We start from the raw sequence: 22,525 nt of genomic DNA, 5'->3' as shown, positions 1-22,525 counted from the left end.
GAGCTAAGATTGCTATGCCAAACTGCCCACTGTAGCATGCATCACTGCACACCCCTTTGTAATCTCAAGTGTTCCTGTATATAAAAAGTTAGAAAATCTAATTATCACCATTTAAGAAAAATTTCAGCACAGATTTACTGTTTGCCTCAAGAAAACCTCTTCATTCATTTATAACTAGAAACTTTCTCTCCTGACTTCCCTTTCTCTCACCACCCAATCTCCTCAAAGCTACCCCTCACACTCCTGCCCACTCTCCAACTGACAGAATTTCCACAATCCTAAAAGCAGAAGGAAAACTTTTTACTTCTATATTGTTCAAGAAGAGTAATGCTGATAAAAATGGGATATAAGAAAACAAATAATTGTTGATGCTTTTATAAAGACAATATTGTATGACAGTAGGAAAAACAAAATGCATATTCAAAACTGCACAGAAATACTGTGAAAGATTTTAATAATAATTGAAGGGGTATATGAATGCACCATGTAGCTGCCACCAGCGCAGATCTAGTGGACTTCTGGCAAATTTCATTTAAAAAAAAAAATTCACCGGAAGTCAGATAAGATAGATAAAAGCAATCAGATACTGCCTTTGGAGTGTAATAAATAGACAAAGGGGGCTGGGAGAGTACTTCAAGTTGCACGAAGATCTCTCTATGAATTAATTTGGTAGTAATTTAGAGGCTTCAGGAGTTGGGCTATTTCATTTAAAGAAGGAATCAGTATTTGTTGGTAGGGCCAAAGAAATGTAAAGGATTTAACAATTGATGAGCCACTCTCAATGTTCAGAGCAGGAGGGAAGGTTGTAGTAATAAATTCCCAAGCTCTGTCAATGATGTGCTGGTGAACGGACAGACAGTAACAGAGTGGAGCCACCTTTCCCTCCAGCTCCCTCCTGGGACTGTTGGACACTCAGGCATTTGTGATTCCTGTCCTTCCCCTCCTCTCATGAGACACCAACTCCAGTGTCTGCAAGAAAGCAAAAAGAAAAAACAGGATATACCAGACCCTACCCAAACAGAGGTTTCTTTGGCTTCAGCTATCTATTCCCCTGATGTCAGAATTAAACCTGGAGCAAGTGAGCAGCTACAGGTAAAGCACTGCTACGTGGAACAGCAGCTCCTCCTTTGTTTTTGTGTTTGTTTTTTTTAAGTCTCACTTACCTATTTCTTTTTTCCCCTATTTGTTAAATTTGTCTCAATTCTCAATATACCTTACTTAACATGCCATCAGTTTAATATCATATACCTCCTAGATAAAAAGCAGATCTAGTTCAACTATTTATAGAGTATTGATATCCAGGAACCATCCTTGAGGGGCTTACAGTAAGTTTGGGGAAGCAAATAGGGAACCCTGTGACAAGTACAGTCACAGACTCTTCAGAGTCCTCTACGAGGGGGAAAGAGTGTGATGGGGTAGGGGAGGGCAGGGACTTGGGATAGCCCAGAGGGAGGAGGGGAGGGAAGAGAAAGGAGGATGGAATGTGAACAAAGACTTGTGTAATCAGAGGGGTAAGCCAAGGTAGGAAGGGGTGATAGCACTTAGGTCTACCAGTGGCAAAACAGAGCTGCTACGGGGGGATAAAGCAAACCTTTCCCATAACAAAGTGAAATATTATTCTTTCTAGTACAGCCAAAGCTTTTCTTGGTTAAAAAAATACAGAAGGAGAATTTCTGGACACTGCATACTACATAATTTTAGTAGAAATTAAATACTTTAAAGGCTAAAAATATTTTAAAAATCATTCCTTTCCCATCTCCTGCCATAAATAATCCACATTAAGACGTAATACAATATCATGGAATTGGTTTGTTTTTTAGGGGTTGACTTCACGCTGAGATGGAGTATTTTTACCAGGAGAGGCCATTTGACAGTGATGAATGTGGATAAGGAAGCCCACGACCTGGGGCTGATGCCAGCTCTGTCACTTAAGGTTACATAACCTCTCTGAGACTGTTTCCTTCTGTTTTAAGTGGAGTAATAACACAGACCTCGGAGGGCCAGGGAGAGGATCAATGAAACATCACACTTTAGAAATAAGCACAGTACAGCTTGAGGCAGTATGCTGAGGAAGCCCAAGGCTGCTGCAGCTAACGACCCATCCTTCTCTAAAATCAGTTTCCTTCTCTCCCCTAAGTACCATACAACTAAAGTATATTTAAAATTATTTGTATTAGGATATTCAGCGCCTAAACTCAACATTGGACCAAATGAATCTGATAGAGTTCTACAGAACTCTCCACCCCAAAACAACAGAATATACATTCTCCTCATCATCACATAGCACATACTCTAAAGTTGGCCATATAATTGGTCATACAACAATCCTCACTAAATGCAAAAGAACCAAAATCATACCAAACATAAGCTCGGACCACAGTGCAATAAAAACAGAAGTCAACACTAAGAAAAGTGCTCAAAATCATGCAATTACATGGAAATAAAGAAATTAAGGCAGAAATCAAGAAGTTATTTGAAATGAATGAGAACAAAGATAAAACATACCAGAATCTCTGAGACACTGCTAAGGCACTGTTAAGAGAGAAACTCATAGCACTAAATGCCCACATCAAAAAGTTGGAAAGATCTAAAATTAACAACCTAACATCATAACTGAAAGAATTAAAGGAACAAGAACAAATGAACCCCAAAGCTAGCAGAAGACAAGAAATAACCAAAATCAGAGCTGAATTAAAGGAAATCAAGACATGAAAAATGATTCAAAAGATCAACAAATCCAGAAGTTGGTTCTTTGGAAAAAATTCATAAGATACACAGGCCACTAGCTAGATTCATAAAGAAAACAAAAGAGAAGATCCAAATAAACACAATTAGAAATGACAAAGGGGATGTTACCACTGACCCCCACAGAAATAAAAATAACCATCAGAAACTACTAGGAACACCTTTGCGCACACAAACTAGAAAACCAAGAAGAGATGGACACATCTCTTCTGGACACATATACCCGCCAAGACTGAACTAGAAAGAAACTCATTTCCTGAACAGACCAGTAACGAGCTCTGAAATGGAATCAGTAATAAATAGCCTACCAACAACAACAACAAAAAGCCCAGGACCTGATGGATTCACAGCCGAATTCTACCAGATTACAAAGAAGAGTTGGTACCGTTCCTACAGAAACTATACCAAAAAATCGAGGAGGAGAAACTCTTCCCCCATGTCAATCTATGAGGCCAGCAATCATCCTGATACCAAAACCTGGCAGAGACACAACAACAAAAGAAAACTTCAGGCCAATATTCTTGATAAACATCAACACAAAAATCCTCAACAAAATACGTGCAAATCAAATCCAGTGGCACCTCAAAACGCTAATCCATCATGATCAAGTAGGCTTCATCCCCGGGATGCAAAGTTGGTTCAACATACGCAAATCAATAAATGTGATCCATCACATAAACAGAACTAAAGACAAAAGCAACATGATTATGTAAACAGATGCAGAAAAGGCTTCTGATAATATTCAACACCCTTCATGTTAAAAATTCTCAGTAAACTAGGTATTGAAAGAACATACCTAAAAATAATAAGAGCCATCTATGACAAACCCACAGCCAACATTATACTGAATGGGCAAAAGCTGGAAGCATTCCCCTTGAAAACTGGCACAAGACAAGGATCTCTCTCACCACTCCTATTCAACACAGTATTAGAAGTCCTCGCAAGAGCAATCAGACAAAAGAAATAAATAAAAGGCATCCAAATAGGAAAAGAGGACATCAAAGTATCTCTGTTTGCAGACAACATGATTCGATATCTAGAAAACCCAAAAGCTTGGCCCAAAAGCTCTTTCAGCTGATAACTTCAGAAAAGTTTCAGGATACAAAATCAATGACAAAAATCACTAGCATTCCTATACACCAACAACAGTCAAGCCAAGAGCCAAATCAAAAAAGCAATCCTATTCACAACTGCTATAAAAAGAATAAAATACCAAGGAATACAGGAAGGTAAAAGATCTCTACAATCATAATTAGAAAACATTGCTCAAAGAAATCAGTGAAGACACAAACAACAAAACACCCTATGTTCATGGATAGGAAGAATCAATATAATTAAAATGGCTGCACTGCCCAAATCAATTTACCGGTTCAATATTATTCCTATCAAACTATCAATGACATTCTTCACAGAACTAGAAAAAGCTATTTTAAAATTCATATGAAACCAAAAAAGAGCCTGAATAGCCAAGGCAGTCCTAAGCAAAAAGAACAAAGCTGGAGATATCACGTTAACCTGATCTCAAACTATACTACAAGGCTACAGTAACCAAAATATCCTGGCACTGGTACAAAAACAGGCACATAGACCAATGGAACAGAATAGAGAGTCCAGAAATAAGGCCACACACCTACGACCATCTGATCTTTGACAAAAACAAGCAATGGGGAAAAGACTCCCTATTCAATAAATGGTGCTGAGATAACTGGCTAGCCATATGCAGAGAAGACTGAAGCTGGACCCCTTCCTTACACCATATACAAAAATCAACTCAAGATAGATTAAAGACTTAAATGCAAAACACAAAACTATAAAAACCCTGGAAAACAACGTAGGTGATACCATCCTGGACACAGGAACACACAAAGATTTCATGACGAAGATACCAAAAGCAATCGCAACAAAAGCAAAACTTGACAAGTGGGATCTAATTAACTTAAGAGCTTCTGCACAGCAAAAGAAAATATCAGCAGAGTAAACAAACAACCTATAGAATGGGAGAAAATATTTGCAAACTATGCATCTGACAGAGGTCTAATATGCAGGATCTATAAGGAATTAAACAAATTTACAAGAGAAAAGCAACCCCATTAAAAAGTGGGCAAAGAAAATCAACAGGCACTTTTCAAAAGAAGACACACATGTGGCCAACAAGCATATGAAAAAAAAAGCTCAATATTGCTGATGGTTAGAGAAATGCAAATAAAAACCATGATGAGATACCATCTCACACCAGTCAGAATAGCTGTTTTTGAAAAGTCAACAAGTAACAGATGCTGGCAAAGTTTCAGAGAAAGGGGAACACTTACACACTGTTGATGGGAGTGCAAATTAGTTAAACCATTGTGGAAAGCAGTATGGCAATTCCTCAAACAGCTAAAAGCAGAACTACCATTTAACCCAGCAATCCCATTACTGGGTATATACCCAGAGGAATATGAATCATTCCACCATAAAAACACATGCATGTGAACGTTCACTGCAGCCCTATTTGCAATAGCAAAGACATGGAATCAACCAAAATAGCCATCAATGACAGACTGGATAAAGAAAATGTGGTTTGTATACACCAAGGAATACAATGCAGCCAGAAAAAAGAACAAGAGCATGTCTTTTGTGGGAATATGGATGGACCTGGAGATCATTATCTTTAGCAAACTAACACAGAAACAGAAAACCAAATACCACATCTTCTCACTTATAGGTGGAAGCTAAGTGATGACAACTTATGAACACAAGGAAGGAAACAACAGACAGTGGGGCCTCCCTGACGGTGGTGGGTGGGAGGAAGGAGAGGAGCAGAAAAGATAACTATTGGGTACTGGGCTTAATACCTGGGTGATGAAATAATCTATACAACAAACCCCTGTGATAATGAGTTTACCTCTGTAACAAACCTTCACATGTAGCCCCAAACCTAAAATATAAGTTAAAAGATTTTTTTAAATAAAATTATTTTTATTTTATACTAAGCATAACTTTTTTAAAAAGGCAAAATAAGGAACAGGGTTTTCTCTCCCTCTCCAAAAACAAACTCAAAAAACTATATTCATTATCTTCATTAAAATATGGATGTACCTCTTTTCGCCCCTCTCCTGCTAAGTTAGAGACTCTAAATGAAAAAGTGCTTTCTCATCTCTGTGGGAAAAGGAAATCACAAAAAACCCCACAGTTTTGCCAGTTAGTGAGTAGTCATTCTTCTTGGGTAAGGTGGGATGGAGGGAGAACAGAATAAATCTTTTAAAAAATTCCCCTCTGTCTTTTCTCCCCTTTTAGAAGTTACTCTCTCTCTCTCTCTCTCTCTCTCTCTCTCTCTCTCTCTCTCTCTCTATATATATATATATATATATATATATTTTTTTTTTTTTTTTTTTTTTTTTTTAAGATGCAGTCTCGCTCTGTCACCCAGGCTGGAGTGCAGTGGTGTGATCTCGGCTCACTGCAACCTCCGCCCCCGGGTTCAAGAAATTCTCCTGCCTCAGCCTCCTGAGTAGCTGGGATTACAAGTGTGCACCACCATGCCTGCCTAATTTTTGTATTTTTAATAGAGACGGGGTTTCCCCATGTTGGTCAGGCTGGTCTCAAACTCCTGACCTCGTGATCTGCCCATCTTGGCCTCCCAAAGTGCTGGGATTACAGGCATGAGCCACCGCGCCCAGCCTAGAAGTTACTTTTAATACGTTGAGAACATGTTGCTTATCTCTTCTTTCTCTTTTTAAGTTCAGTCTTACCTCTTCAGTGCCTGGTAAGTCTTCCTAACAAGGAGGAAATGGTTTACCTGCCTGAAACTGGCTGTCAGCTGACTTTTCTTGGGTATGCCTAACAAAATCTCCAAGTGATACACAAGAAGCTGTTTCACCTGCATGTGGACCAATGCCAGGGACAACAAGGAGCATGGCTGCTGCAGTGGCTAACACAGATCTCCTTGCCTCCAGTCTTTGTGAATTTTAATTCATTCTGCACACTGTGACCAGCTTTCCTTTCTCCAGCTCAATCATCTGTCATTTCTTTATGCTTTCCCTACTAAACAGAAGTTGAATGCTTGACCCCACCTTTGTTCATCTGCCTCACTTGCCTCTCATCATTCTCATATCTGCTGCCTCCTCTCTTCCCCATCCCCAAACACAACTCTTCCCACATTCCAGACTTACCACTTTCTATTATTCCCCTTCACCTCCTTTCTTCATCTTCCTGAGCTGAAGCTTCCTTCATCCTCAGTCACATGCTCAGTTCAGACTTCCCTGAGCACCCTATCTGAAATCCTCCCTCCCCCTTCTGTAATCCTAGACATCTATTTTCATCATCACTACAGCACTTACCATGTGCTGCCTGATGCCAAAAATACTTGCAAGCAAGTCATATCTCCTATTAGCCTGTAAGCTGTTTAAGGATAAAGAATATGTGACCTTTCCACAGAAAGATTTTTATGCTATATCAGTTCTTAACAAAATGGCATTTCCCTCTGGATATACTAGCGAATGCCTTCTCAGAGATCAGGAGACACCAGTAGGAGACCGGCATGGTATGGTAGGCTGAATAATGGCACCCAAAGATATCCACATCTTAAATTCTGGAACTTGTGAATGTTACCTTATATGGCAAAAGAAACTGCAGATGTGATTCTGGACCTCGAGATGAAGAAATTATCCGGGCGTATAGAAAGGAGACAGAGGGAGGTTTGACTACAAAAGAGAAGGCGAACTGATGACAGAAGTAGAGATTAGAGTGATAGATTTTGAAGATGGAAGAAGCTGCCATGAGCCAAGGAATACAGGCAGCCACTGTGAGCCGAAAAACGCAAGGAAAGGAATTCTCCCTCCTGAGGGAGATGGCAATAATGATCAACTGGTATCAAGACGTAAACTCTATTTTTAGTTTCTACACTCCCATCTAAAGGGCTACAATAGTTATAATAAGTGATGTATAGAATGGTGCATTTTTGGTGGTAGCATTCAGTAATCAGAATCTTGCTAGTCTTTGACAAAACATCATGCTATCAACACTTCTTGTACTACATAGAAATCAACTAGAGGAGTCCATTCTCTAAAGTCAAACAACTGGCTAATAAGAAAAGGTAAGTGGGGAATCATTTTCCTGCCTAGCCCCACCCGACAACAACAACAACAAAATTATAAATTAGGTTTATAGGGCCTCACTCAAGTTGTATCCCATAGCATTTGGTGATTTTGTTTTTACAGTTTTTTTTATAATTCACAAGAAATCAAACTAATTAGCGAAGTATCACTTTATCAATTTCTTTATAGCTTCAAGTACTAGCTTAAGTAAAAATTGAGGTGAGGATGGAAGGGGCTGTGATTAGGAGGAACAAAGTAAACAGAGCTAGTTCTTGCTTCATGCTTCAGATAGCAGTGATGCATGCACATACACACACGTGGGCAGAACACTGCGGTATAGTTATTACCTCCGCCCATTCGGATCTAATAGCTAGTGCCAAATATAACTCTTCCGCCAATACTGAACATCATGCATCCTATTAAGAAACTGTGTTATGATACCACATCATTTACTCTTAACCCCCTAATCAAGGGTCTGCTATGGAGAGGAACATGCATCCACAAAGTAGATCCTGACAATTCACAACAAGGCTATTAGCTGTGGAAACAGAATACATTTCTTATGCTGTTTTCACTAAGTGTCCTCTAGTATGTAAGTCATTATAAGCACAATTCCTAGAATATTATCAATTAATGCTCCTAAGCAATATAGGCCTTTACTGTACGCTGGAAAGAGAGGGCAAGTGAAATGCTAAAATGGTTATGCTCCATTCTGCAACTTTCATTATACTACCAGGAAAGCTTGTGCTGTGCCAGGGAGAGGCAAGAATACCTGATCTTCCATTTTGAGGGCCCAAGAGTCAGTCTGATACTCCCTGATTACTCTGTTAACATTGTAGTAATGGAGACATCATGAAGCATCCTTCACTCACTTCTTAGTGATGGGACCCTGGATATCAGCCACCACAGCTTCACTAACCAGATCACACATGTATATGTGTATGTACACACACACTCTCCTTTAAACACAAGACAAAAGACAAAAATACTGGAAAATTCCCAACTAACCAACTATTCAGAACTAACATTCTGAGGGTAGATCTTTTTTGTGTTTTTGAGACAGGGTCTCATTCTGTCTCCCAGGCTGGAGTGCAGTGGCACGATCATAGCTCACTGCTGCTTCAACCTCCTGGGCTCAATAGACCTGCCCGCCTCAGCCACAGTGTCTGGCTAATTTTTATATTTTTTTGTAGAGACGGCGTTTTGTCACATTGCCTAGGTTGGTCTCAAACTCCTGGGCTCAAGTGATATGCCTGCCTCAGTCTCCCAAAGACCTGGGATTATGGTGTGTGCCACTGCCCCCTGCCTACAGTAGATCATTTTTACTGCTAATTCCACATACATTTTTTAAAAAGGCAAAGTAATGGGAAATGGGGTAACAAGAGATAATGAGAATTCTCACTTAATTACTATACCATACTTGATTTTAGTCATTAAAGTTGTTTTCCCCAAAAAATTTTTAACAAAATTATTACAAAATAGCAAAGTGGCTTTTTTTTTTTTATTCCATTACTCAAGTATGAACCATCTATTTGGCTGGATATCAAGTGCTATAGGAGATTCATGCGGGGTATGAGGCCCTGCTGTGAGCAGCTTACAAAACTGGATGGAAATAAATTTGATATGAAAGCACTCAGACATGATACTTCATACTTAAGTACTGAATTATACCGTATGGTAATAATGATAATTCCTATTTATTGAACACCTCTCGTGGCTCAGGGACGAAACAAGGTGCTTTACATATATGCAAAACAACCTTCCAACCTATACAATAGAGATTTAAAGGGCTTAACATTATAGGTGTTCAATGGTGAGGGGATCCACAAAGAACCTGGGCCGGTAGGTTTTAGGTAAAGGTGAGGACGGTCATTCTATGTACGTGATGCTACATTAGCAAACCCTGAGGAAGCCATGCATCCAGCTGCCTGGGACAGGAATATGTGGGGCAGTGGGAAGTCTAAAGACTAGGTGACAGTTTTATGCTTCATTTGCCTTTGTCAAAGTTGCTAACGTCCAGAGGAAAAGCTGGGGACTTTGTTCCGTGCAGTTTCTATGGGAAGCCAGGGAAGAACTCTCAAGAACAAATCGGTTAAACTGATTACAATCAGTTTAATTGAAAGACACGTCTAAAAAAATGACATTTCCGGTACAGTAATACTCATCTGGTATTTGAAAGTAAGGCAAGTGGTGCAGAGAAGGGTGAAATGGGGCGGCTGGGAAGGACAAGTGGTCTGAGCAATCATGTCGTCTGTGAAAGGGTTAAATGGTAATGAAGGAATAGTGACATCAACATCTGGTGGTTAAGTTCTGCTGGCCAGGATTAAGGATGTAATTTTACAGCAATCCATGGGTGGATTGGGCCAAGGGATGGAGGAAAGATCTGAAATGACTCTCCACCATCATCTTTAGTTCCCAACTCCACTCAGTCACCACTCTGGGTATATGGAGGAAGATGGAAAGAGAATACAGACAAGACATGGGTTAGTGGTACAGAATGAGTTAATAAGATGAGAGACTATATATTAAGGTCAAGGAGAAGGAAAGTGAGGAAGCCCTTTCCACACAAACACCAGGTATCTTTTAGAATGAGGACAAGCAGGAAAACTCAGCCTTCTTTGGCTAAAATGTCCCATCTCCTTAATGCAACATTCCACTTATCACAAAGCCTCATATTATATAAGTATTTTTAGACAAAGCTTAACTTCTCTGCTAGATTACAAAATCCCTGAAGGCAGGAGCCATAGCTTCCTACATCTGACACCATGTCTTGTGCATCGATGCTTAATAAATGTCTGCTAAATTGAATTAGGCTCCCATGTTACTGATGATACCAGGGAAAAGAGCAATAATAGCCTTGGCACCACAAGGTTAGTGTCTCAGACTGTTTCATCCATGGTGCCCACAATCACTGCTGTCATAGGATGGGTGCTCAACAGATTCTTAAAGAAAGAATGAACAAATGAACAGAGATCAGTATCTCCCACCAGTATGAACAGAAGCTCTTTGGAAATAGCCAGGAATGGAACACCCTTTAAATCCCAGCTTTTCCTACTTGAATGCTTTATGCCCACATTTCCATTCAGCAACATGCAGGGACTGCTTTGTATGGCAGCTATAGGATTAACAGACGTTATTAAGTTGTTAAGGTAAAGTACACGGTCCTAAGGGCACAGAAATTTGATGTATGTCTAGATATGTAAATACTTACATCACTATCCATATCGAGAACATTGCCAGCACTCACTCCAGCAGTCTCTCTTTACCCCACTCAGGTAAAACTACCTCTATCAATATAGATTAATTTCTATGAGGGAAAAAGTTACTTTATCCTTTTCACTCTTCACTTCCTTGTGGAAGCCTACATTTCTTGGGCACAAAATGGTCACCTTGTCTGTGCTTTGGAATAGTCATTCCAAGATAACTAGTATCACCAGATTTTTGACTAATAAATCCTAAGCAATGACAGCAACGGCCCCTGTCAAGCAGGCCTATTCTCATGTGCATTAATAAATGAGAAGGGAGGCAAACATAAACAAAACAAAGCACAAACACTAAGCCATTTGTCCCACCTGACAGCAGACCCAGTACCAGATACTCCCTGAACTAGAGTTCCCCTGGAACCACACACAGAGCTATAATCAGAGCATGAGCTGGTCCAATCGGAATTCCTGCTGCTCTGCTCCACATCAAGTACTTGTCCTAAGCACCCCACCCCCATCCCAAACACACCCAGACAAGATGAGGCCCTTCCCTGCTGGGAAAGAACACTGGCTTCACAAGCAGAAGTAGAACATCTCATTACTTCCCCCAGAAAGCTGTTCTTAAGTAAAGAACATCTGGTTTGTTTCATTATTGTTGTTGATGAGGAAAATGTTCTATTATGGTGATCATGGTATGTGAACGCCATTAGCTTTCAGATTTTAGAAAAAACACACTTGAGTAATGCTTTCCTCGCTAAATTCAGTAAATCATTTTTCTTTCTGTGTCAGAGAGGTCTCTGATGATGGTTCAGCTAATGCAGAGTGAATGTGCAGGTACAGATTTTGATACATGGATCAATACTTCCTATCAAATTACCTGAATCTTCTGGGAGTTACTAGTTTTCTATTTCCCATGGTAGAAACAGGAGGTGAATACTAATGCAACTCCCTTCTCAGGCACTGCCTCCGGCCAAAGGAAGCCTGTAAAGCTAGTTTTGTCACAGCATATAAATTAGACCAATGTTTTTCATAGTCAAGTTCAACTCTAAACTTTTGAGTAGAAGTCTATGCCTTCAGGGGACTGTCTAATAATGAAAATCATATTTAAGTGAGTGTTATTTTGGTAGACTCTGACATGCGTTCTTTTTTTTTTATTTCTAGAGTTTCTACAAAGTTGCTATGTTATCAAGTGAGCTGAAAAAATAAGATTTATGGTTTTATAAAACACCAAATCCAGAAACTCTTGTATAATTACAAAAGAGCAAGAACTCAGAATGCAGCAGCCACCATTTGCTCTTGGAGTTCAAGGAATCCCCAATATCTTCCCCAAAAATCTATACTTCAGCTTTATGAAGTCCTAAAGTCTGTATACCTCACAGCCTGAAGAAAGCTGTCAATCTGAAATGCCATTCTCTCAAGACACAGCCTAAACACAATGCAGCAACAACATGAGGAAAGGCTTCTCAATGCTCTTTACAGAAAATTTTATAAAACCAAAATCAAAGTATGGCATACCACTAAACAAGAAGCTATAAGCAATAATCTCAGTGCTGATGAAATACCTTTATCATCTGAAAAAGTTTTTAATTTATTCTGGGCAATGGACAATGTCAAAGTATATTTCCTTAAATGTCAAAATATAAAGTCCAAATTAGCTTCAAAAAAAATCCCTGAATTGAATTTTTGTTTATATATTTTAATTGATATATAGTAGTTGTACATGTTTTGGGGGTAATGTGTTTTATTTTTGATACTTTTTTTTTTTGATACGATGTGCAATGGTCAAATCAGGGTAACTGGGATATTCATCACCTCAAACATTTTTCTTAGTCCAACCAGTTTCTTAATGTGAATAGTATATAGATGGTCTGCTAGTTACATTGCAGAAAATAAATTCATAACATAGAAGGAGAGAAAAAATTGTTCTGTGGAATGATACCAACTTGTGTAAAAAGGAATTTCTATACCCAGTCTGAAAATTAGGAGATGATTTCTGATGAGATCCAAAACTACCAAGAATGCAGCAACCACAGATTCTCAGCTTTGCTAGTATGAGTTCAGTTGAAAGTAGCAGATAAATAAAGCAAAACAGTGAGAACTAGGCAAACATAAACAGCTGAATTTTTTTTTTCAGACCAAACATTTCTATTTCTTCACCATTTAAATGGAATTCGACTTTTAATTTTTATTTCCTCCTCTTTAAAATTCACAACCTCATGTTCTTTTATGACCTAGGTATACCTAATCCTATGTATAGTCTTTTCCATTCCAATTCCTACATTTCAGAGTTAATTTTATTTAATAGAAAATAAAGTATTAAAGATATATTGAAAAAAACCTCCAAATTTCTACCTGTAAAAGGAGTCTTCATTTTTACCTACTGCTGTGATTTATCCATTACATTACTACCACAGTAAAACACATACATGAGATTGTTACTTTCATGTAACATTCTACTAAATATTTTAAGAATAGTTATAGTTTTTCTCAAAAAGATTGCATGTCATTTTGTCACTTTGATAATTTAATTAAAATATTCTTCTAATATGAGACATTAAGTTCTGCTTTGGATTTGCTATGTTATGTATGTGTATATATTCATATACATTTAGTGAATATCCATCACCTCCACATTATCACAAGTTGTAATAAGCAACTTCACACATTCACACATCCATATTTAGTGTTCCTGTGTAATTTTTTCTTTTTTTTTAGACGGCGTCTCACTCTATTGCCCCAGGCTGGAGTGCAGTGGCAGGATCTCAGCTCAGTGCAACCTCCGCCTACTGGGCTCAAGCAATTCTCCTGCCTCAGCCTCCTGAGTAGCTGGGACTATAGGCGTGTGCCACCAAACCTGGCTACTTTTTTTTTCTGTATTTTCAGTAGATACAGGGTTTCACCATGTTGGCCAGGCTGGTCTTGAACTCCTGACCTCGTGATCCACGCGCTTCAGCCTCCCAAAGTGCTGGGATTACAGGCGTGAGCCACCGTGCCTGGCAATTTTTTATTAAAGATAAGTTCATAGGAGTTGGAGTGCCAGGTCAAAATATAAGAAGATATTTAAGATTATTCTGCATTACTGTGCCACCTTCCAAGGAGGTGGGACCAGCTCACCATACATATGAGCAATTTCAAATTCTTTACTGAATTATGGGATATGAGCTGAAAGCCATTAGTTAGGATAGTCTACATTACTGATTTTAGAGACGAAGCAATTAAATCCAAGAGAGATTAAGAGGCTTGCGTAAAGGTCACAAAGCTGATTAATGGCAGAATTCAATAACCCAGGCGTTCTGACGGCCTCTACAGGGCCTCACAGTCACATTATCCTTGGTTTCTCACTGGCCTTGGAATGCCCTCTCAGATAGAATGCCAGCCACAAGCCAACACAGAAGGAAAATGAGGTAGGGTAAATGAAAGGGACGAGGAGAATCAGAACATATGCAAGAGGGTAGATGTAGGTAGAAGAGGGAAAGGAAGATGCAATAAGCAGCAGCACTGAAGAATTTCCTTTCGTTATTCAAGATCTTTTTGTTGCAGATGTTTACCTATTTGTAAGCATCGAAGCACAGCCAGGACAACGGGTCTTACGGAGTAGGAGGCAGCAACAGAACAGTATTTTTTATGTGAAGGGATGACAATGGACTTACACAAATAATTCCCAGCAGAGACCACCTCTCTTTTCCCATCTTACAGATGAGAAAAATGAGCTTTCAGAGAGCAAAGGTTCCATTAAGTATAATGAGCAGGGTCAAGACTGAAATCTCAATCTTGACTTCCAACTTATCATTCTATACTGATGTGACTTTTAGTTTTCATTAGTAAGGTAAATTTACTAATAAAAAGTTACTTAAACTGCTAGCTTTTTAAAACTTATCTAAGTTGTTGTTGTTGTTATTGTTTTTAACCTAGACAGTCCAAAGACAGCAAAACAGGCTTCCAGTTTTGCTTCGGGCAAGTCAATTCATCTTTCTGAAATTGGTTTTTGTTTTCTGAAATGGGAAATTTGGGATAGGTGATCTTTAGGGTCCCTTCCCAATGTTAGTATTATATATCATGTGCACTTCTTATAGAAGTATTTCATGGGGGTCATTTTCATTAAAACCAAATTTAAAGCCTCCTTAAACAGCAACATAGTCCAAGCAATTTTAAGATTTTTAAAATGACACAGAGAACAAAATCTTAAATGGACTCATATTCTAATGGCTAGACAAATTCTATTTTCAGTCTCAAAATAGGCAAAAAAAATTACAATCTTGTTCCCATTTCAGAAAGATTCCGAACTAAGCAATAAACAAAAGAGAACATCTCAAAGTATGAAACCAGGGAACACTTCGTGGCTTTGTGTGTTGAATTTGAGAACACCGCATGAAGAATGAAAGGCTGCACCTTAGTTAAGGTTGGATTCAGAAAGTCTAAGGGAGTGGGCAAAGGACTCAGTCTGACGGGGCACTCTCAACCACAAGTTTTCACCCAGCAGTTAGTCATGAAGTCAATGTAATGGGGCAACCTTCATGTTTTAAAAATGTAATAAAATAGGTTATAATAAGATTTATCAGAGTACATTTCAGAATGCAGCAATATGAGACAATTGGGCTAGTTATTGAGATACTGCTGCCGGTCTCAGAGCAGAGACTGTGCAAGCCGCACTTCTGCTGGCTTTAAGGAGCTGGTGCCTTGCCAAGTTTAGCTTCTTAGAAGCACTTGAGGAAGGCTGGAAGGCTGCAAGAGGAAGATGGGACTTGCTCCTTTCTGTTTTGCTTCTAGTTCTTGTCATCACGTTCATCCCCTGCCTCCACACCCACCCAGCAGTGCATCTTCACTCCAGCAGTAGCAGTTCATTCCAGCAGCAGCAGCTGGTTCCAATTTGTAGTTTTTCCACATTCCCAGAGCCAAGCCCCTCATGCTCCCTCAGGGACACCAGCTGGTCAGTGTCCCCTTGTCAGAAGTCTTCTCTGGCTCCATGGCTCTTCCTTTGAGCCTCTATGTTCTGTAATCCCCTTGTCCTCACAGTGGCAGTGCCTTCCTGCTATTACTACCTCCACTATACCTCAGTGGGGTGCTAATGGGTGAGGCCCAGTCCTTGAAATGTCTGTTACAAGTCCACAACAACATAAGGAGCTTACACTCGAGGTAAATTAACTGGATCACTAAGCACACTGTTTTCAGCTAACTTTTCTTCATAGATAGACTTTTTCAAAAATCAGGAGGAGCTGCTTTACATTCAGGTGCAAGCTTCTTATCTCATTGCAGACTGGTAGTAAACAGTAGATCAATTTACTTTGAGCAACACAGGCTTGATGGTTCCCTCTGGTTAATGATTCTTTATATTACAGTCACTCCTAAAATTAACTTCTGGGGTTTCTATCTCCTATGGACCCCTGACTGATATTGAAATTAGACATAGGTATATCTTGAGTAACTTTTCTTTTACATACATGCGTGTGTGCGAAATGAATTGTGATACAAAATGTACCACATGTGTCGGGTGTGGTGGCTCACACCTATAATCCCAGCACTTTGGGAGGCCGAGGCAGGCAGATCACCTGAGGTCAGGAGTTCGAGACCAGCCTGGCCAACATGGTGAAATCCCATCTGTACTAAAAATATAAAAATTAGCCTGTCATGGTGGCACAGGCATATAATCCCAGCTACTTGGGAGGCTGAGGCACAAGAATCGTTTGAACCCAGGAGGGGTAGGTTGCAGTGGGCCAAGATTGCACCACTACACTCCAGCCTGGGCGGCAGAGCGAGACTCCATCTCAAAAAACAAACAAACAAACAAACAAAAACCCCACATGATCAGACATGTAGTTTATAAGAAAAAATAGAACCTAGGAAAATGTGTTAATTTGTATGTGTACACTGTCTGCTAGGACTTCAGAGCACCTTAAGTATTTCTAGGTCTTCTTTAACAAAAGTATTTGACTCTGCTAATTATAAGTATGAGCAGACTCTCTTATATACAGCAATTATAGAATAAGATTATATTGTCAGGCTTACTTTCAACTGCTTAAATATTTCCTACCAACACAGCAGTAACTTTACTGAATAGTTCACTAACATGTCTGTAAGGTTGTTCTGTAGTGTCTACTTCCCTATTTTTTAGGGTAGAATAGGTGCTTATTAAACCACCATAGAAAATGAGACACAACAGGCTCATTTGACCTAAAGACAGAAGAAAACCGATCAGTGCAAGCTGTCAGGGATTCTTCTAACAGCACATGTAATAATCCATATTTTTGATTCTAGAAGTAAGAGGCAGCTGTAGCCTCTAACCTCTTAAAATGGATCCACTACACTGGTATTATGAGAATTTTCCTACTGTACTTTTTGGAAGAATCTGAACACAAAGACAAATTTATGCTGTATTGATAGAACTATGTGCTTCTTATTTTCTGAAATTTAAGGTATTCTACAGATTTGAATTACCTTGTTTTGATTATTTCTGATGCAGCATCTTTAATTTTTTTTGTCTCAGTTTAGATTGGGCAAACATATTGTCCATTCCAAGAAAGTTAATAAAAATATTTTTAAAATATACATTAAAAGAAGTATTTAAAGTTCTACAAATAAGCAATAATGATTCAGCTAGGTCAAGCCTGCTACCCAAAGAAGGAAGTCACTCAGAAATCATGCTGAGGTTAGGGCAGTTAGGGTAGGCTTGCCAACTGGAGAGAGCTCTGGAATAAGAAAGAGGAGCATGTGTTTCTTGTCAGGTTCAGCCTTTAATAAACTGTGTGACCTTCTGAATGCCACCTACCCTCTTCTGGATTTCTGCCTCCTGAGCTGTGAAATGAGAGGGTTGGACAAGATGGCTTATGAAGTCCTCCAAAGCTATTTCAGTCAGATGAATTCTATGTATGCATTTCTACTTCGCATTATGAGTAAGACTAAACTACACAGCTCATCAAAAATTGAGTGCTGCTTGGATGGAATTAAAGAAAGAAATTCCCACACAAATTAATTCAACAAGAAGAACAGTGTCTAGTTCTTCTTTCCTTTCCTTTTTTTTTTTATTAAAAAAAAAAAGCATTTGTTATAACCAGAGGCAGTTGAAAGGAAATTGGCATAAAACTGGTCTAGTTTAAGAAAAAATAATTTCCAAGGAAACACTCTACTGACAGTTCCTCTTACTGCCTCGTGCAGACTCACTGAGGACTGGTGGATAAAAATTATTCTCATTCCATTCCATTTGTTTAGGGACAGAGTGAACCAGAGCTAAGCGTCAAAGTGTTTCCTGTTCTGATGACAGATAACCGCATTGCCGTATGAGAGCTAGAGAGGCTATATCCAGCAGGCCTAAAGGAAAAGAGCAAAAACGTGCTCATCCTCTCTTTCCTTTCTCACCAACAAAGCCCCTCACCAACAGAACCAGGCACGAATTCCAAACCTTGACCTTAGTTAACAACCCGACCTTCCCATGAAGCACACCTCCTCCACATCAGCTGAAATTCCATCCAAAGCTGTTTCCTCTTCCAAGGTAGTAAAGTTATAAGCACAAAAGCGCTATAGTCATTCTATTTTTTCTAGATAAGTAAATCTGAAAACTAGAACAGAATTCCAAAATAAGCCGTTTAAACCATGTTTATTTACTCCAGTTGAGAATTTCTTCATACACAGAAACCCCACAGAGTAAAACTCATCCTTCTAAATCGATTCAAATGGCCTCTGGGCCATATGGTCTTATTAAGTGAAAATAAGTGCAGTTACCAAAGGAAAAGACTACAAGTAAAAAACAATCCTCTAAAACAATATGATAATGGGAAACAACCACTATTTATAATAGAATTCACCACAGGCGGACAATATTTGATAACCCAGATTTTAAAATCTTAAATGTATTTAAAATTTCCATGTCAATATTTACAAGATTAATAAGGCATGAAATTTGGTGCATTCCCAATTTTAACAAAAATTCTGTAATAAATAAAGATAACACTGATATCACTTTGGAGGCTAATACTATAGAGAACTTTTAAAAATAATTCCCCATGTTATGCCAAATCACTATTGTTAATATGTGTACGACTATGAGAAGATAGGCCTTCACAGGGTTTTATTTAAGGAGTCTAACCCGACAGTAGTTCCAGTAAGAACTGAAATAACCTGGAAAGACTATAGCAGCCACAAGGAATTACTTTCATAGATTTCGGTCCCTCAGTTCATGCAGGATTATAGTAAAAGCAACAGCAGGGGAAATGATCTTATGAAAGAAATGAAATTTTCCACCAGCAGTTAGTGCTGCCCTGTTAGTAACTAGGCGAGAGAGAGAGAGACAGATATTATATATATAATATGTAATATATAATTATATAACACATAATAAATGTATAATATATAATATATATTATATAATATATATTATATAATATATAATAAATTATATAATATATATTATATATAACAAATATACATTTCTTTATTATATACAATATGAAAATATATATAATTATGTTATATATAATATAAATATAAATATAATATAAATATAAATTAAATATATATAAATATAAATATAAATATAAAATGTTATATATAATATAAATATAAAATATGCTATATATTATATAAATATTAAATATATTATATATTTAATATATAAATATTAAATATATATTATATTTAATATATAAATATTAAAAATATAATATATTTAATATGTATTTATATAATAGTTTATATATATTATATTAATATATAGTTTATATATTATATATTATATATTATATTTTTATATAATATATAATATAAATATATATTTACATATATTTACATAATATTATATAATATATATTATATAATATATATAGTTATTTCTACTGGTGAAGAGTACAGTGGTAATACATGCTGCAACAATTCATGTTTTCAAATTGTGTGATTGATGTAGAAACTCTAACTTCTTTCAAAGCATCAGATGGATTTTATAAGCTTCCTAATGCCTGAAAAGTAATAAATAACCCACTGGAGTGACTATGGGACTTAGCAACATCCGAAATATTTTTGTAAGTCAAATGAAAATGCACAAATAATTCTTAGGAAGCCTGATATGATTACCTAAAATATTATTACAGTCACACATTAAAAAAAAAAACCAGGATATAGACATACACTTACATAAGAATCATGTAAAATAGTTTGAGAGATCCTACCTTTTTCAGGAATCTGACTCCGTAGGTAAATACATAAAGGTAAAATGAAAATCTCCACCTGTAGAAGGTTAAAAAAAAATCTGTGACATTCAGTTTATATATTCACAGCATATACTGAAATATGTAAGGGAGGGAAAAGAGTTCATTAAATTAAATTTGTCCCCCTACCTCAACTAAGGATTAAACTTAATGAGCAATTTCAGTGCTAGCTGAAGCCATACACTGGTATACATGGCTTATAGAAAATATTTTGAGTATTATATTCATAACTTAATTTTTTCATTGTTAATTGCAATATTTGCCCAACTGCTCATCTTCTCATTCTCCAACATGTGAACTTCTTCTTGTTTATCACTCATGAAGGGATATGATTTGGTAATATGAAGGTATAATATCTGAATCAGACAAATAATTCAAAACTAACAACTGGAGTTAACTGAAGTTCATATTTGTTTTAAAAGAGTTAATATTTTAAAATTAGGTAAGAATTTCACTTTGTCTTTTAACAACTATATCAACATCTTTGTGGATGTTGCTAAAGGAAGGCATATAGAATCTAAATAAATCAAATTACAACTATAAATGACAATTTTATACCATGCCAAACTTATGGTCTAGCTGTGACTTTCACTTCTAATGAAGAAAAATTTTTAAGTTTTCTTTTGATTTTAAATGATGGAAATGTTTTAAGTCTTTTAAAATATAAGATGTGTGCGTGTGTGTGTGTGTGTGTGTGTGTGTATACTTATTACAAAAAACTCTTACTCTAGTACTAAATTCCCAATTTTATTTCTTGTACTTCCGAGTATGAATAGCTACGCCTTTAAAAGTTGGCTGGATGTCACTAAATGGCATTCCTGATATCATAAAAAAAAAAAGTTATCTTGTAAGAAAAGACAATTAACTTATTGTAGTATAATAGTTAAGGGCTGGGCGTGTTGGCTCACACCTGTAATCCCAGCACTTTGGGAGGCTGAGGCAGGTGGATCACAAGGTCAGGAGATCGAGATCATCCTGGTTAACACGGTGAAATCCCGTCTCTAATAAAAATACAAAAAATTAGACAGGCTTAGTGGCGGGCGTCTATAGTCCCACCTACTTGAGGAGGTTGAGGCAGGAGAATGGCGTGAACCCGGGAGGTGGAGCTTGCAGTGAGCCGAGATCCCACCACTGCACTCCAGCCTGGGCAACAGAGTGAGACTCCATCTCAAAAAAAAAAGAAAAAAAGTTAAGAACTTAATTTTAACTCCATCTCCATTACTAATCTCTCAATGGTTATGGGTGAGAGTGATAACAAGTTTCTGTTTGTTGTACAAATTCTAGATCAAAAATTAAAACCAGGGATATCTTCATGGGTGTGTGACTTAGGCAGTCACATAAGACTTCATGCTTGATTTAATGCTTTGTTACCATCTTGAAATTCTTAATAGTTGTTGAACAAGGGACCCAGCATCTTATTTTGCATTGGATTCTGCAAATTATGTACCCAGTTCTGGTCAAGACAGACTCAACTAACTTTGGGCAAATCTGTTAATATCCTTTGATCTCAGTTCCATCTCTATAATGGGAGACTGGGTTTGTGCTATAATGATGCCTCAAGGATTTGGTAGCACAAGTATTATCTCTACTTCTCTCTAGTCCCTCCCAATCCTTCCAGTATGGAACTAGCCTACTTCATGCATTTGCCTTGTCTGGCCCCTGGAGGCAAATGAATTTGCAACTCCGAGATTAGGTTATTTATAACAGCTGTTTCAGTTCTAAGACCCTTGTTAGTAGGTAGTGATCAGGCAGTTTTTATGTATAAAAAAGTTTTACAGAAGTCATTGGAATTCCTACCATCATTTATGTATCTACATTTTATTTAATCACTAAAATGACCCAGTTTTCATAACACATAGATTCTATTATAGGAATACTGATGCCTCCATCATTTGAATAGCAACTTGTGATGAATATTTACAAGGCAGAGTTTATTTCCACAAAATATCTGCAGAAAGCAAAATTTTCAAGCATCTTGCAACTTGAAAAAGCACTTCTTTAAGTTGTGGAGTTTCATATGTTATTGTTTTAAATGCTAGCTACCAGTCCCTGATATAGTCCCTCCCAATCTTCTACTAAGATACCTGTAAAAGAGATAAATAATAAAGTTCATGCACCCATGAAAAGGAAGATATGACCTTCAACCTACTGCTAGAATCAGGGAAGAGTTCTTACAACAGAAAAAGAATGAAATTAGATGTAAAAAATGTGATTAACAGTGAAAAGTCACAAGCCTTGAAGGAAGTAGGGAAATCTTCATCTGCATATCACCCTGTCTCCACTTTCTGCCATCTTGTATAGAAATGCAAAA

At 37.6% G+C, this 22,525-nt stretch overlaps 1 protein-coding gene across 3 annotated transcripts in view, besides 1 other annotated feature; it reads right to left on the bottom strand.

The window, feature by feature from the left end:
* The window catches only part of CERS6 (ceramide synthase 6), a 318,863-nt gene that overhangs the window by 123,917 nt on the left and 172,421 nt on the right, over window positions 1-22,525 (bottom strand). For 2 of the 3 annotated variants that reach the window (NM_001256126.2, NM_203463.3), the window contains exon 4: window positions 20,176-20,233. In NM_001256126.2, the coding sequence (NP_001243055.1) occupies window positions 20,176-20,233 (58 nt within the window). Of the gene's footprint in view, window positions 1-6,896; window positions 6,979-20,175; window positions 20,234-22,525 lie in introns of those variants that run through there. The other variant, XM_005246440.6, reaches the window with a different exon arrangement.
* Window positions 15,673-15,802: an enhancer, noted in NCBI's record as "active region_16736". NCBI's record gives its function as "activates an Ori minimal core promoter by ATAC-STARR-seq in GM12878 lymphoblastoid cells {active_cell/tissue: GM12878}" and the evidence as "EXISTENCE:reporter gene assay evidence [ECO:0000049][PMID:35858748]".

Source organism: Homo sapiens, chromosome 2 (assembly GCF_000001405.40).
Source record: "Homo sapiens chromosome 2, GRCh38.p14 Primary Assembly".
Lineage (NCBI taxonomy): Eukaryota > Metazoa > Chordata > Mammalia > Primates > Hominidae > Homo > Homo sapiens.
Note: the sequence above shows the minus strand (reverse complement) of the source record. Positions and strands in the feature narration are given on the sequence as shown.